The 15,619-nt window shown below is 50.1% G+C and overlaps 1 protein-coding gene and 1 pseudogene across 9 annotated transcripts in view, besides 5 other annotated features; both read left to right on the top strand.

The window, feature by feature from the left end:
* The window catches only part of GRIP2 (glutamate receptor interacting protein 2), a 113,911-nt gene that overhangs the window by 63,381 nt on the left and 34,911 nt on the right, over positions 1-15,619 (top strand). For all 9 annotated transcript variants that reach the window (XR_007095752.1, XM_047449036.1, XM_011534142.4 and 6 more), the window contains exons 2-4: positions 13,706-13,786; positions 14,065-14,200; positions 15,099-15,244. Coding sequence is in view for 8 of the 9 variants with exons in the window: in XM_047449036.1 (XP_047304992.1) it covers positions 13,706-13,786; positions 14,065-14,200; positions 15,099-15,244 (363 nt within the window). In the remaining variant the exon portion in view is untranslated. The remainder of the gene's footprint in view (positions 1-13,705; positions 13,787-14,064; positions 14,201-15,098; positions 15,245-15,619) is intronic.
* Positions 2,523-3,482: an enhancer, noted in NCBI's record as "H3K4me1 hESC enhancer chr3:14577662-14578621 (GRCh37/hg19 assembly coordinates)". NCBI's record gives its function as "activates a minimal SCP1, AML or CMV promoter by ChIP-STARR-seq in naive H9 embryonic stem cells {active_cell/tissue: H9 hESC(naive)}" and the evidence as "EXISTENCE:reporter gene assay evidence [ECO:0000049][PMID:30033119]".
* Positions 6,517-7,307: an enhancer, noted in NCBI's record as "H3K4me1 hESC enhancer chr3:14573837-14574627 (GRCh37/hg19 assembly coordinates)". NCBI's record gives its function as "activates a minimal SCP1, AML or CMV promoter by ChIP-STARR-seq in naive H9 embryonic stem cells {active_cell/tissue: H9 hESC(naive)}" and the evidence as "EXISTENCE:reporter gene assay evidence [ECO:0000049][PMID:30033119]".
* Positions 7,308-8,098: an enhancer, noted in NCBI's record as "H3K4me1 hESC enhancer chr3:14573046-14573836 (GRCh37/hg19 assembly coordinates)". NCBI's record gives its function as "activates a minimal SCP1, AML or CMV promoter by ChIP-STARR-seq in primed H9 embryonic stem cells {active_cell/tissue: H9 hESC(primed)}" and the evidence as "EXISTENCE:reporter gene assay evidence [ECO:0000049][PMID:30033119]".
* Positions 8,549-8,655, top strand: RNU6-905P (RNA, U6 small nuclear 905, pseudogene; annotated as a pseudogene).
* Positions 13,512-14,011: an enhancer, noted in NCBI's record as "H3K4me1 hESC enhancer chr3:14567133-14567632 (GRCh37/hg19 assembly coordinates)". NCBI's record gives its function as "activates a minimal SCP1, AML or CMV promoter by ChIP-STARR-seq in naive H9 embryonic stem cells {active_cell/tissue: H9 hESC(naive)}" and the evidence as "EXISTENCE:reporter gene assay evidence [ECO:0000049][PMID:30033119]".
* Positions 14,012-14,513: an enhancer, noted in NCBI's record as "H3K4me1 hESC enhancer chr3:14566631-14567132 (GRCh37/hg19 assembly coordinates)". NCBI's record gives its function as "activates a minimal SCP1, AML or CMV promoter by ChIP-STARR-seq in primed H9 embryonic stem cells {active_cell/tissue: H9 hESC(primed)}" and the evidence as "EXISTENCE:reporter gene assay evidence [ECO:0000049][PMID:30033119]".

Below are 15,619 nucleotides of genomic sequence, written 5' to 3'. Positions count from 1 at the left end.
TATTCCTCCAAAGAGGGAGCTTGGGGCCTGGACCAGAACATACTGCATTCACTGCCCTGGGGTTGCCTCACTGGTTTCTTCCCACGCTCTTGACATATCTTTGCACCACAGCTCCAAGGGCAAGGACTGTGGTCCCAGTGGACAGAGGAGGAAACCAAGGCTCAGGGAGGGCAGTGGCCGAGCTGGGATTGACACCCCGATGACTTTTACTGCAGAGCCCCCAGCCCTGCTTCTGAGGGCCCAGTGGACTTTGATTCCCACCTCCCTTCCCATGGCAAGGAGCAGAGCCAGGTCACCTCTGGACCCAGCCTTAGCGACCCAGGAAAAATAACACTCATAATCATAATAGCTGGCTGTTGTCGAGAGCTTCCTCTGGGCCAGGCTCTTTTCTAAGCTTTCTGTGCATTTTCTCATTTAATCCTCATAACTACACTGCCACTTGGGTACTGTTATTCTCTCCATTTTGCAGTTGGGGAAACTGAGGCAGAGAGCTGCTAAGTGACTTGTTCAGGGTTATATAGCCAGAAGTGACAAAGCTGGGATTTGACCCGATGGGCCCACCCATCCTTGGCAACTGCACTGTAAATGGAGGCTCTGCCTTCTTGGCCTGGACACATCTGTTCTTTCAACCCAAGGCCCAGGTGAGTGGGGTCACCTTGGTCTGCTGTGGTCAGGGCCACAAAGGCAGCAGTGCCCTGGAGACCTTACCTGGGGCACTGCCAGGGAGGTGTCTCCCCCTCCTCATGGGCCTGTGACCTCCACCTCGGCCCAGGGTCAGCATCAACTGCCTGGGCCTTTGCCCAGTCTCCTCCCTGGCCTGGCCTCCACCCCTTTGCTGCCATGGGAGGAAGCTTGCCAAAACACAAATCTGCTCAGCTCCTAAGCCTTGCATTCAAGGCCCTTCCTGACCTCTCTGACATTTTCTCTCTCTGATGACTTACTTGACCTCTACCCTCACCACTGTAGCCTCCACCCTAGGTCTCCTCCCCAGGTCACAGAACCTCATGATCACACTTGCTTCAGTTTGCATCAGCACCAAGGCTCTTCTTCCAAAAAGTGTAAAGATGGAGCTTCAGGCACAGTGGGATCCAGATGCTCAATTAACATCATTAGGACTCTGGGTCTCTTCGTAGCTTGCTCTGCTTCACTTTAGTGAGCTTCATTTCCAGGCAGACTCTCTCCTCTCCTTGAGAGTTCCTGGCACCTTCAAACTTAAGGTCAACCAGCTCAGTCATCCCTAAGGAAAGAGAGCCTATTTCCAGTAGTTCCAGCAAATGCCCCAGAAACGGCTCTCATTGGTCCAACTTGTATCACATGCCCACCCCTGATGGATCGCTGAGCCTCTGATTGGCCAGGCCTGGTCATGTGACCTCCCCTGTTGCTGGTAAGGACAGCCATATACCTCCACATTTGGCACAGAAGACTGCAGCCCTGAGAAGTCAGCCCACTGGCAGTGTGCGTCAGTGAGTGCCCCGATTGGAGCTGGGCTCTGTGGACCAGGCAGCCCTATGCCCTTTCTCTGCTCCTGATGGACTCTGGGTGGGTCCCTTCTCAGGCCCCACACCCTGGGCATGTCGTCTCACTCCAGGGAGTCTTGCTTTCCTGTCACTAACCCCAGAGTTCTGGCAGGAAGGGACTGTGACCTATCTCCATTGGCCCAGGCTGGGGCACACAGTAGGCCTGAACACAGATTTTGGCAGGAAGTCCCTCTCCATGTTCACTCTCCTGCCTTGAGGACGGGAGGCCTGCTCTGACTCCGCAGCCACAAAGACATCTTTGTTCCAGGCCTGCTAGGTCTGAGCAGGCACTTGCTGCCATGCTGGGGGCAGGGAAGTCTCAGTGGGTGTGGGTGTACATGTGTGAAGGTCCCCCTGCTGTGCCCTGGGCTACCCACTCCTCCGAGGGGCCCTCACCAGGCCTACCCCTTGGCTCTGAGACTCCTCAGGCAGGCCTGGCCTCCTACTCCACAGCAGGGGCTGTGGCCATGGGGGATCCTTCGCCTGAGTTTGCGTCCTGGCTCTGTCTCTTCCTAGTCTCTGACCTTGAGAAACTCATTCCACCTCTTTGATTCTCATTCTCCTAATCTGTAAATGGGAATTGAATTAAAAAAATATTTGCTGAGCATGTACTACATGCCAGACAATGTGTGCGCTGCACACAGCAGTGAGCAGGCAGACAGAAGCCCGGCCCCCTGGAGCTGACATCCCAGTAAAAATAGTCGTAAATATTTAGATGGTGTTGATTGCCCAGAGGAACATGAAGCAGGGAGGGAGTGGAGAGGAGGTGTGGAGGTACAGGGTGCGTGTGTAAGTTCCAACAGGCGGATGGGGAAGGCCTCCCTGAGGAGGTGACATTTCTACAAGTTCCCGAAGGAGCTGAGACGGGAGTTTTGATGATGTCTGGGGAAGAGTTTTGTGGGCAGAGGGAACAGCCGATGCAAAGGCCCTAGGGGGATGTGAGTCTGGTGGGCCTTGGGTCGAAAGGACAGATGTGTCCAGGAAGGCTTCACCTCCCTTTAGAGTGCAGTTGCCAAGGTGGGGTGGGCCCATAGGGTCAAATCTCCGCTTTGTCACTTCTGGCTGTGTAACCAGGAACAAGTCACTTAGCATCTCCATGCCTCAGTTTTCCCAGCTGTAAAATGGGGAGAATAACAGTGCCCAAGTGGCAGTGTGGTTATGAGGATTAAGTGAGAAAATGCAGTGTGCTGGAGTGGAGCTGGCCAGGGCGAGCATCAGGAGGTGAAGTCAGGGGACCGGGGACTGACAGTTGTGGTGAGGACTTCTGCTTCTACTCTCCCTGAGCTAGACACAGTCTTCTTGTGACTGCAGGCAGCCGCCATTGGGAAACTGAATGGTTCTGTGGGTGACCCTGATTTTGAGGTCACGTTCCTTGACATTGCTGGTTTTAGAGTAGGGCAGGAGAGCAGGACCCAGAACGCAGAAGGCCAACCCCCAACTTGAGACTGCGCCCCCGCTCTCCCATGGTGGGATGTTGGCCTGCGTGTGGCTCAGGCCTGCTGGACAGGAGCCCCTCTCCCTGTGTGGAGGAGGATTGTGGGGGTGGCGGCCTCTCCAGGTGATGCCATGGGTCCTGCTAGCCCTGATGCACCCAGCCTGTGAGTGCCTGAGCCCTAACTTAGGTATTCTTGGGATACTGGAGCTGTCACCTTCCCAGTGCCCTGATGCTTCTCATTTGGGGTCTGTTGCCCTCCTGTTTGGAGGGAAAGAGCAGAGCCAAGGGTTCAGGGCATGGTCTGTTGTGAGGTCAGGGAGCCCTGGGTTCCAGGTGCCTCTGCAGCTCACCAGCTCAGTGGCTTCTCTGGGCCTCAGGCTCCCTATCTGTAAACTGGGGACAATCGGTGAGCCTCCCTCCATGGTTCTTAGGACAATTAACTGACTTAGCATTCATAAAGTGCTTAGAGCAGGCCTGGCCCAGGGAAGGGCCCAACACTGGGTGCTACTTATTAAGGTTCTTTATTTTTTTCTTTGCAATCCTTGGCAACAAATGAATGAGGCTTCAAATTTTTAAATGTATTGATGCATTTCTTTTTGTCTCCCTGAAAAACGTGCTTCTGCCGAGCTTATCTGATCTTTCTATGCTGCTCTCCCCATGGAAGCTGGGCTTCCTGGGAGGCTTGTCGCCCGTGGGGATTGGAACTGTCATTCAGAGGTCAGCCTGTAACTGGCTTTGAGGCATCTCCATCGAGCCCTTGGCCTGTTCCAGCCCTCAGTGGCCAGGGAGGAACGCCCAAAGGAGCTGGGGCTCTGCCTGGAGCCGAACAGCCCCGGGGCTGCAGGCATTACAGCAACTTCCAGGCTTGCATGGATGGGGGAGTAGGCAGGAAGGTACCCAGAGGGTAGGGCCAGACCCCTTAGGGAGCCAGAAGGCCTGGGCTTCAATCCTGGCTCTGCCACTTAGAAGCTCTGTGCCCCTGGGCAGTTCCCTTGACCTCTCTGTGCCTCATTAGGCCTGGGTTCAAACCCTGGCCCTGCCCTTTATCATGGGATATCACTTAACCTCTCTGTGCCTCAGTTTCCTCATCTGTAAAATGAGAATCATGATTATACCGCCTCAAAAGTGGTGAGGATTAAATGAGATCGTGCTTAGGAAGCACAGAAACCAGCACTTAATCACTAGGAGCCATCATCATGATTGATCTAGGAAAACCTTTCAACAAGGTGAGGGAAGCAGGCAGGGAGGGAACTGCCATGTTTTATGGTTTCTGTGCACACTTCCCCACAGTTCCTCCCAGCAACCCATGAGGTGGGCACCAGTACCCCCATTTTGCAGAGGAGAAGTCTGAGGCTCAGAGAGAAGTGACTTGTCCCAGATCCCTTAGCCAGTTGGCAGCCGATTTAGAATCAAAGTCCCAAGTTGGACTGACTCCAAAGCCTATCCCTCCCTTCCCACCATATCAACAATCCCTTCCATGGTGGGGCGAAGCTGGCTGGGGCTGGACCGTCACTTGGTGGAGTACTTAGCGCCCATGTCCTCTTCAGCACCCAGGGTCCCGGTGAGCTGGCATGGTCCTGGCCGACAGCTCACCGTCCCTGCAAATCATGTCCTGTTCGCCCCAAGTGGAGCCTCTGGGCATTTGTTTTCTCAGTGGTCCCTTTTGAGATGCTGAGTCCTCCCTCCAGGAGGCTCACAGAACAGGGCAGCAGTCAAAGCCGGCTGACTTTATAGTCCCACCCACTCCCCCACGCTTCTTTCCAGCCACCCGCTTAGGCAGGACCCTGGCGAAGGCAGCCTGGCAAGGAGTTGACTTCCTTTTCCCTTTGTCAAAGCTCAATAGCCCCCTGAGGCCCCAGAGAGCGGGAGATAATGAAGGCAAATTAGCCATGATTTCAAGAGAAATAAAATAAAAAAGAAGGCCACCCACCCCGGCTGCAGCGTGGGCCTGAGTACCAGGTGCACAGGTCTGAGCTCCAAGCACGTTTCTCCCTCTGTCCCTCCTCCCCTGACTTGCACACCCCACATTCGCCGGGACTGGCTGGCACCACTGCGGAAATGAATTTTCCTCTGAAGCGAGTTCCTACAGGACGATTGACTGAAGGCAAAAGCTCATAATTGCCCGTTGCTGGAAGGAGGAGACAGGGAAAAAAAAAAACATGGATAAAAATATCTCTGTTTTTTATGCACGTTTCCAGCTGAAAATTGGTGGGAAAGATGTTTTTGAAAAGCCTTCATCTCTAAGCATATAATTACCAGGTCCTGGAACAAAAAAGAGAGAGTGGGAGAGAGCAAGCATGTTCTCTGAGGAGGGGGCCTAGGGTCTGACCCCCCCAAGGGGTTTTCTATAAATAAAGTAATCCCCTCAACTTCTCAAGCTCTGGCCAGCTGGAGTCAGCCATGGGAGAGACACCCCCATTTTACAGAGGGGAAAATGGAGGCTCGAGTCACACAGCCAATTGTAATTCTAACCCTATTTTGATTCTTGGTTTGGATGCTGCCTCAGTTCCCCCCCATCTGAGGATGTTCGTGAAAGAGAGGCCCTATGTCCCCTCTGAATAGGCATCAGCAAACACTGCAGCATTCCTTCCGGGCACCTTTCTGACTATGCCAGGGGGTCTTGGGTGCTCAGAAGCCTCTCATCTGGCAACTCGCCTATCAAGAATGGCTTCTTGACTTCCACAAGAGGCCACCAAGGGCACACCCTGAGATGCCTAGGGAAGTCTCTCGAGGCCTCGCCTGCTGCCCACTGACTCTTTGCGCACAGTAGTATGACTTGTTTTGCAGCACGCAGTCAAGTCTCTGACAGCTGGGAAAAGAGATGGCTCACAGGCTGAACCCCAAACCGGCCAAAAATTGTAGCAGGAAGGGAGTTGCAGCCACTCGGTGTTGAGACCAGCAGACTCCGGCACCTCCGCTGTCCCTAAGCTGTCACTGTAACCCACTTTAGCACCCGGTAGTGCACTGGAGCAAAATCTGAATATTGGGGTGAGGAAAGGGAAGACAGGCAGTGTCAGAGACAAACTTGGAGGGCACCACGGAGACCCAGGGCATGGGTCCCCCCCTTCGCCAGCCAACATCGGGCACCCTGTGCTTCAGCATCCAGCTCTTGGGGGTGCCGTTGTTCCTCCGTCTGAATTTCTGACTTGTTTTTACAATTAGGGCTCACAGCTCCACATCCACTCTGGGATTCCACTGCTCTGAATTTGGTGAACTTGGGCTTTGGCTTCCTTATCCTTTCCTTAAGAGATAATCCTTCTCCCTCCCCCACTTTTCTCTTAGGATTCATAAACCTGGAGCTAGCAAGCTTATCTCTGGTCTTCCCAAGACAGCTGGAGATAGAGAGGGATTTTCCAGGGACAGAATCTAATCTGCACAGGATAAGACGTATTTTAATTCCAGAATTGCCCTCCTGAAATACCAGAGACGTTCACTGTCACACAGTTGATAGAACCCAGTCTTTTTGATTTTATTAGCTCAGAAACATCTTGTTGAATCTAAATGAAGTGCGTATTAGGAAACCGTAATGGGAGGCATTATACTTAATGGGGTGTCGCCTGAATCCGTGGTGGCTGATGTGAACTGGAGGTGGAAGGCGGATGAGCGGAGCTGCTGAGGACCCAACCCCAGGGGACCTGGAAATGATTCCTGGCTTAACTGCTATTTGATTTGTTATTTATCAGCTGCTGGCAAGCAAAGAGAGCCCAGCCCTGGTCTGGCGGAGCACGGTAGTTGGCAACTGGGACCTTTCTCAATGGTTACAGCTGCAGGTGGGAACGCTGTCAGGCTTCCATAGGCCCAAGTTGACCAGCAACACTGACTCAGGCTGAGCCCCGCCCTCAACTCAGCAGTATCCGGCCCGGAGCCAGGCTGAGCCCCGCCCTCAACTCTACAGGATCCGGCCCGGAACCAGGTTGAGCCCCACCTCCGACTCAGTCTGCGCCCAGCCCTTAAGTCAGTCTGAGCCCCGCCCTTAACTCAGGCTGAGCCTGGCCCAGACCCAGGTTGAACCCCCTCCCCTAACTCAGGTTGAGCCCCACCCCTGACCCAGGTTGAGTCCCCTCCTGACTATAGAGCAATGGTTCTCTGTTGGGGGCGATATGGTTCCCCTAGGGCACGTTTGGCAATGTTTGGAGTCATTTTTGTTGGCCACAGATGCTCCTGGCATCTGGTGGTTAGAGGCCAAGGATGCTGCTCAGCTTCCTACAATGCAGAAGAGAAGCCCCCACCACAGGAATCATCTGGCAAAAAATACCCATAGTGCGAAGGCTGAGAAACCTCCCGTAGACTGAGCCCTGTTTCCGGTTCTGGCTGAGCCCTGACGCTGGCCCAGACTGAGTCCTGACCTTGACTCAGGCCACTCATACCCAGGCTGAACCCTAATCAGACCCTCCCCTCATGAAAAAGACCTGGCTGGAGCAGAGTGGGGAAAGTGGCCTCTGCCACCTGCGGGGACCAGACCTTCTCCCGTCTTTTCTCCCGCTGCCGCTGAGGATGGGAGGGCGCGTGGGCCGCTGGGTCAGGTCTCACTTTCCATGGGTGTGAGGTTGGGGAGGAGAGCGAAGTTCCCACAGCTGGCGAATGGCAGAGCCAGGATCTCTACTGAGGCCTGGCTGACCCCTGAGCCTCTTCTGCTAACACTAGGCTAAGCTGGAGCCGCAGAGGTTGGGGTGGTAGGAGAGCCCTTCTTCAAGGGCAGGCGGGGGCATGTGCAGGCTCAGACGAGGCCTGAGGAAGGAGCAGAAGGTGCCCCGGAGGGCTGAGCCCTGAGGCAGCGCAGGGAGCCCACCAGCTTGATGGTGCGTCCCTTCTCACTTTGGCACCTGTTCTTGCCCGTGTCAGCCCAGTACTGAGAAAGGAGACTTAGATGAGGAATGTGAAAAACATAACCCGCTCGATGGGGCCTCAAGCACAGGGTAGAAAACGCTAAAAGGCCTGGGGTCTGCTTCCAGCTCTTGGTAGACGCTGCTTTCGCCAAAGACCTCCCTTTTCTGAGCCTGTTTCCTCGTCTGTCAAATGGGTGTGATCGCAGCACCTACCTCCTCCCAAGGCCACTGTGAGAAGTGAATGAGGTGGAACAAGATAATGTGGTGGTGTGCACAGGGCATGGCTGCTGCAGGATCTGTGAGTTTCCTTCCCCTCTCTGTCAGCACATAGAGGAGAAACCAGAATATGCCCCATCAGGCTGAACCCTGCCTTTAACTCAGGCAGAGCCCCGCAAAATGAGGCATGTGCAAAAGGAGGGATGCTGCAGGGAGGCTGGGGTCCAGCAGGTGACCAGACAAGCTTCCAGCTTCAAACTCCTTTGAAATGCTCAGGTGCAGTCACAGGAAAGTAAGGACAACCTCAGGCATCAGAAATGAAGCGAGTGAGAGTATCAAGGAGATAAGGATGGTCTGTGTAATCACCCCATCAACTTTGTAAGGGAGGTCTGGCCAGTCCAATAAGGCAAATAAGAGAAATGAAAGGCATAAAGTTTAGAAAGTAAGAAATAAAACTGTCATTTTCACAGATGATATGATTATGTATATAGAAAATCCAAAAGAATGTATGGCTAAACTTAGAATTAATGAGTGAATTTAAAAGTTCAGAATACGTACTCGCTTAGGCAGCACAGATACTAAAATTGGAATGATACAGAGAAGATTAGCATGGCCTCTGTGCAAGAATGACACACAAATTTGTGAAGTCTTCCGTAGTTTTGCAAAAAAAAATAGAAAGAATGAATAAGACCTAGTATTTGATAGCACACTAGGGTGACTATAGTCAATAATGATGTAATTGTACATTTAAAAATAACTAAAAAGATTTAATTGGATTGTTTGTAACACAAAGGATAAATGCTTGAGGTGATGGATACCCCATTTACTTTGATGTGATTATTATGCAGTGCGTACCTGTATCAAAATATCTCATCTACCCCATAGATATATACACCTACTACATACCCACAAGAATTAAAAATAAATTTTTTAAGCTCAGAATATAAAACGAACTGTATATTTTTACACCAGGAACAAATAATTAGAAAATGAAATTTGAAAAACAATCCAATTTCTGTAGCTTTAACACACTTTAAATGCCTAGGAATACATTTAATGAGAGTGGTATAAGACTTTTTCTCATACAAGTACACAGTGTTCTTAGGAGAAATTAAAGATAAAAATGAATGGAGGAATATACTGTGATCATTGACTGGAAGATTCAATATTGTCTCCCAAAGAAAAAGACATCAATTCTCCACAAATGGGCCTATACATGCATTTCCACTCAAAAAATGGAGAGAAATGGAAAACAAGTAGGATGAGTGCAGGTGATGCTGGGGCTTCTCTACTGGGGTGGCAGCAGGAATGGGGGGATGTTTGTGCGTCTGGTAGCCGAAGGCTTGGGTTTTAATGGCTCAGAGACACAGGAAAAGCTACCTTGTACTTTCCCAAGTTGGTACTGAGACCCCGGCATAAAGCCAGGACCTTTGAAGAGATCTACCCTCAGTGAAAGAGGAGACTTGGAAAATATTCACCCGTCTATCAGGGAGCTAAAACAAAAGCTTATCTGTCTCAACTCAGCCTCCAGTGGTCTCCTTTGAGGATTTGTGATCTAAGGTGTGCCCCTTGTTTCTGGTGAACATTAGAATTTATAATACCTCCATGGTTCTGAAATCTTTGAGCCAAGATTGGTATTTACAATACCATGGAGGTATTATAAATTCTAATGAGTGTTGTAAATACCCATAATCATTGATATCAGGGTAATGATACTTTGGCAAGCACCCAGGGGAAGGAATGGAAAATTCTCTCTGGACCCTGGAGCCCTACAACCAGGCTGAATAGAATTCCCACAGTTGAAGCACTACTAAAGATGAGTTCACAATCCAACAATTACCAACCACACGAGGAAACAGTCTACTGTAAGGGAGAGTCATCAGACACTAGGCAGAAGAAATACCTCCCAAGAGTTTGAGATAATGGAAAAATAAAATAATAGGTGAATGTTCAAAATATTTAAAATTATTAGAAAGATAAGGAGCAACAGAAAAAGGAAGAGCAAAATATAAAAACAGAACAAAGATAAAAGCAAAATAATCAAACAAAGCTTTCAAGAGCCATAAATGTACTGTTGGAATTAAAATTTGGAATGGGTATTAGACTAATAATTATGGTATTACTTTGTAAGGTGGGATATAATACTTTTATTGTATAAGAAATATGTTCTTATTTAGAAATGCATATTGAAATATTTAAAGGTGAAATTGCATTATGCCCAGGATTTGTTTTAAAATATTTCAGCATAGATAAAAATAAATGGGCTAAATACTGCAAAGTGTTAATGATTGTTAAAACTACCTGTGAGGTAATACCAATTCATTATACAAGTGTTTTTCCTTTTTTTTTTTTTTTTTTTTTTTTGAGACGGAGTCTCACTCTGTCGCCCAGGCTGGAATGCAGTGGCACGGTCTCGGCTCACTGCCACCTCCGCCTCCCAGGTTCACGCCATTCACCTGCCTCAGCCTCCCAGGTAGCTGGGACTACAGGCGCCTGCCACCACGCCCAGCTAATTTTTTTTTTTTTTTGTATTTTTAGTAGAGATAGGGTTTCACTGTGTTAGCCAGGATGGTTTTGATCTCCTGACCTCATGATCCGCCCCCTTTGGCCTCCCAAAGTGCTGGGATTACAGGCGTGAGCCACCACGCCCAGCCACAAATGTTTTTCAAACTTTAGTGCGACACAGAGTCACCTAGAAGGCTTTTCAAAGCACACATTATTACATCTGACAATGGATTTGTATCCGGAATATATGAAAACTCAATAACAAGGAAACAAACAACCCAACTTAAAAATGGGCAAAAGCTTTGGCACTTCCCCAAAGAAGATATAGATGAATGGCAAGTTAAAAAAAGTGCCCAACCTCATTAGTCATTAGACAAATGCAAATTAAAATCACAGTAAGATACCTCTGCACATGTATTAGCATGACTAATTTTTTTTTTTAATTAGGGAGACAGGGTTTTGCTGTGTTGCCCAGGCTGGTCTTGAATTCCTGGGCTCAAGCAATCCTTCTACCCTGGCCTCCCAAAGTGTTGGGGTCACAGGTATAAGCCAGTGTGCCCAGCTTAAATTTTTTCGTTTAAACCCTAACTGATATTACCAAGTGCTGATGAGGATGCACAGCGATTGAAACTCTTTTACATTGTTGGTCGGGTGCAAAATGGCACAGCCACTTTGAAACAGTTTGGCAGTTTCTTATAAAGTTAACCATATTCTTGCCATACCACCTAGCAATGCCATTCCTGGATGAAACAGAAACTTATGTTCAAACGAAAACCTGTATGCAAATGTTTATTATGGCTTTATTCAAAATCACCAAAAACTGGAAACACAAGTCAATAGCTAAACAAACTGGTATATCCATTGGATGCAACCCAAGTCATCCATAAAAAGATGCAAACTACTGATACACACGACACTGTGGCTGAATCTCAAATGGTTATGCTAAATGTAAGAAACTAGACTCAAAAGCGTACATACTGAGTGATTCTACTTACATGACATTCTGGAGAAGACAAGATGATAGAGACTGAAAACAGATAAGTGCTTGTGGGGAACAGAGGTTGGGGCAGGGACTGACTACAGTAGAACATCAAGGGAGAATTTTGGGGGCCAATAGAAATGTTCTAAAACTTGGTCGTGGTGGTGGTCAGGAGACATTTTCCAAAGCTCATTGACATGCTCACCACAAAGAGTAAATTTTACTATATTTAAATTTTTATTTATTTTTATTTTTTATTTTTTGAGATGGAGTCTCACTCTGTCACCCAGACTGGAGTGATGTGGCACGGTCTTGACTCACTGCAACCTCCGCCTCCTGGGTTCAAGCGATTCTCCGGCCTCAGCCTCCAAAGTAGCTGGGATTACAGGTGCCTGCCACCACACCCCCCTAATTTTTGTATTTTCAGTAGAGATGGGGTTTTGCCATGCCTCTGTTGGCCAGATTGGTCTCGAACTCCTGACCTCAGCTGATCTGCCCACCTTGACCTCCCAAAGTGCTGGGATTACAGGTGTGAGCCACCATCCCCCGGTCTAAATGCTAAAAAGTGAAGAATAATATAAGTTAGACTAATATACTAATATACACACACATACAGATTCCTGGAGCCCACCCCCAGGGTGTTTCCTTTTTCAGGTCCTGGTTGGGGCCAAGAATTTTCCTTTCTTACTTCCCTTTTCTTCCTCCTTCCCTCCCTCTTCCCTCCCCTCCCCTCCCCTCCCCTCGCTTTCCTTCTTTCCTTTCCTTTCTTTCCTTTCCTTTCCTTTCCTTTCAAGTAATTAGAAAATGAAATTTGAAAAACAATCCAATTTCTGTAGCTTTAACACACTTTAAATGCCTAGGAAAGGCAATGCCTTGGAAAAGAAATACCTTCCCTTCCCTTCCCTTCCCTTTCTTCCTTCTTTCTCACCCCCTCTCTCTCTTCTGTCTCTGTCTTTCTCTCTTTTCGAGACAGAGTGAGGGTCTCAGAGTCTCTCTGTCACTGGAATGCAGTGGCGCAATCACAGCTCACTGTAGTCTCGACTTCCCAAATTCAAGTGATTCCCCTACCTCAGCCTCCTGAGTAGCTGGGACTATAGGCATGCACCACCATGCCCGGCCAATTTTTGCATTTTTTGTAGAGATGGGGTTTCACTATGTTGCCAAGGCTCGTCTTGAACCCCTGGGTTCAAGTGATCCACCTGCCTCGGCCTCCCAAAGTGTTGAGATTACAGGCATGAACCACTGTGCCCAGCCAATAATTTACATTTCTGACAAGTTCCCAGGTGCTGTGGGCCTGGGGACCACATTTTGAGAATCTCTGCATCATACTGTTCTACCTTCTTTATGTTTGAAATGTATGAAAGATTTTCTACTAACTCAAAAGAAGCAAAAAAGACAGATTTCATTGCAGATGAAGCACCCCTTGACGTATCTTAGAGAGATAAAGAAGACATGGAAAATATGAGAGAAGGGTGGGTGTGGATGTGGGTCATGGAGAGTAAAATGGAAAGTCCTAAAGTACATCTATTAAGCTTTTCAAAAGAGAGAGAGCTGTTGGAAACAACATTTGAAGAAACACAAGGGAGCGCTTTCTCGAATTAGAGTGAAGGAGGACAGACTTATCTCAGGCTGCCTAGAACGCCTGAGAATGTGATTCATAAACTGTAAAGTGCAGTCCTCATGAGGAAGCATTAATCAGGTCCACCCAAGATTGAGTTTCGTCTCGGTCAGAGCTGTCTCACATGAGCTGCTGTGCCTGCGTTTGAGAGAGCTCCCCCTCCCAGCAGGTATGTAAGCACAGCCCTGGGTAGTAGAGTCAGCAGAACTGGGTTCTAATGCAGATTGCACAACTCTCCAGCTGTGTGACAATGGGCATGAGTTGGCCTTCTCTGAGCCCCAGCTTCCTTATCTGTACAGTGGAATAATCTGATCCATGGTAACAACATTCACAGGGTTGTTGAGACAGTGAACCACAGAATGGCTGTGAAGCTCCCAATATGTAGTGTAGTGCTCAAAGAATGTTACTCAGCCCCAAGAGCAGGGGCCAGGCTTTCTTTGGGAGGAGGAGCTGTGAGGATTCTCCAGCAGAGAATCGGGTGGAGCTGGTGGCAGGAGGGAACCCATCTTACAGGCCACGTCCACAGAGTGGAAAATTCCCAAAGCAGAAGAGGTCTGCAGGAATGGAAACGAAAGTGGAACTCGGCCTTTCCCTCTTTCTCTCCTGCAGACGATGGGCCCTACTCCAAAGGAGGCAAGGACGCAGGAGGGGCCGACGTTTCCCTGGCGTGCCGCAGACAGAGCATTCCAGGTAATGAGGCTTCCCTCATTCCCTCTTTTTCTGCCCTGGAGGCACAGAGAGCCCTAGGTGGGGGTCAGATGGCAACGGCTCTGCCACTGACTTGCTCTGTGACCTTAGACCAGCCACTTAACCTCTCTGATTCTCCTCTGTAAAAAGGAGGTGATCATCACCCAGGGCAATGCAGCAGAGTGCCCTACCAACCAGGTGCTCGCCTCGCTTATCTTAGAGCTGGGGGCCTGGGGTGGCCCCAGCTGCCCGCTCAAGCCCCCATCCCCATCTGTTGGCAGAGGAGTTCCGAGGGATCACTGTGGTGGAGCTGATCAAGAAAGAAGGCAGCACGCTGGGCCTGACTATCTCAGGTGGCACCGACAAGGATGGAAAGCCCAGGGTCTCCAACCTGAGACCTGGGGGACTTGCAGCCAGGTGAGAAGTGGGCTTGGCACGGCCGCAGGAGGGGGGTGCAGAGGCAATGATGGGAGCCCAGGGCCAGTGGAAAATGTACTGAAGGTCTTAGGCAAAGCAATCAGGCAGCTGTTTCCAGGAGCACCCATCAACTTGGTGTCTGCAGAGGGAAGGCCTCCAATGGAGGCTGTAATTCTAGGCCCTGGCTTCTCTTTTCTTTTACACCAGGGGCTTGGCCATAGCACCCCACAGTCACCAGGCCATATCTGCCCTCCAGGCCTTTGCATATGCAGTCCCCTATGTCCAAAAGCCTATTCCCCACAGCATCCTCCTGGCACACTCCTCTTTACCCCTCCACACTCAACACAGAGGTCACTGCCTCCAGGAAGCCCTCCCTGACCCGAGGCCAAGGCAGCTGCACTGCTCTGTTCCTGAAGCCCCACATGCACATTTCTGCACACATTGTCTGATTTCATTTGCCCCTGTGGCTCCCTTGGACTGTGAGGCCTGGGAGTTAGCCTCTCAGTCACTGCCTCCCTGGGCCTCACACAATGCTGGTGCAGATAAATGTCCAGTTGAACAGCAGGAAGGTTGGTGGTGAGAAGTCAGGAAGAGCATTAGGGAACAGCAAAGGATGTGATGATCTGGTCACTCTGCAGGCTCGTCTGAGACACCCCTGCAGAAGGAAAAGCAGGCAGACCAGCGAAGGGGGAAAGCCTGGGACCTGGGTGTCAGTCTCTGCACTCTCTTACGTGCTGTGTGACCCTGGACAACTGTCTGACCTCTCTAAGCCTCAGCTTCCCCATTTGTGAAATGAGGATCCAGTGATCATAGGGATTCCAGAGGAGGGTGGGTGTGAATGCCAGGACTGCATGGGCCAGCACCTGTTACCATGTGTGCCCTGGCCTTCCTGCTCTAGGAGTGATCTGCTGAACATTGGTGACTATATTCGGTCTGTGAACGGGATCCACCTGACCAGGCTCCGCCACGATGAGATCATCACCCTGCTCAAGAATGTGGGCGAGCGCGTGGTGCTGGAGGTGGAGTATGAGCTGCCCCCGCCCGGTGGGTGCCCTTGGACGGGGAACTTTCTCCACTGCCTCGGTTGCGGGTGGACACGGCTACCTCCCCACCAGGGCCTGGGTGGCAGGGATCATGCCAGATGGAGTGGGTAGAACCTGGAGACTGGCCACAAGCATCCATACCTCGCCTAGGGGCTGTGCCTACAACCGCAGTATGCTGTCACCAGGAGGTGGTGGGACTCTATAGCCAATGTCATTTTACATATTTAGTCTCCAGATGCTTTTCCTTTAGCGGGGAGGGTTTTGGAAGCATTAGCTGAATAAGTCGTTCCCTGACCTACCACGCCCACACTCCACTGCCCTGCACTAAGTAACGGTGGTGTAGGGTTTCACCTAGCTTGGGATTTTCAAAGCTGGT

This window comes from Homo sapiens, chromosome 3, assembly GCF_000001405.40.
Source record: "Homo sapiens chromosome 3, GRCh38.p14 Primary Assembly".
Taxonomy (NCBI): Eukaryota; Metazoa; Chordata; class Mammalia; order Primates; family Hominidae; genus Homo; species Homo sapiens.
Note: the sequence above shows the minus strand (reverse complement) of the source record. Positions and strands in the feature narration are given on the sequence as shown.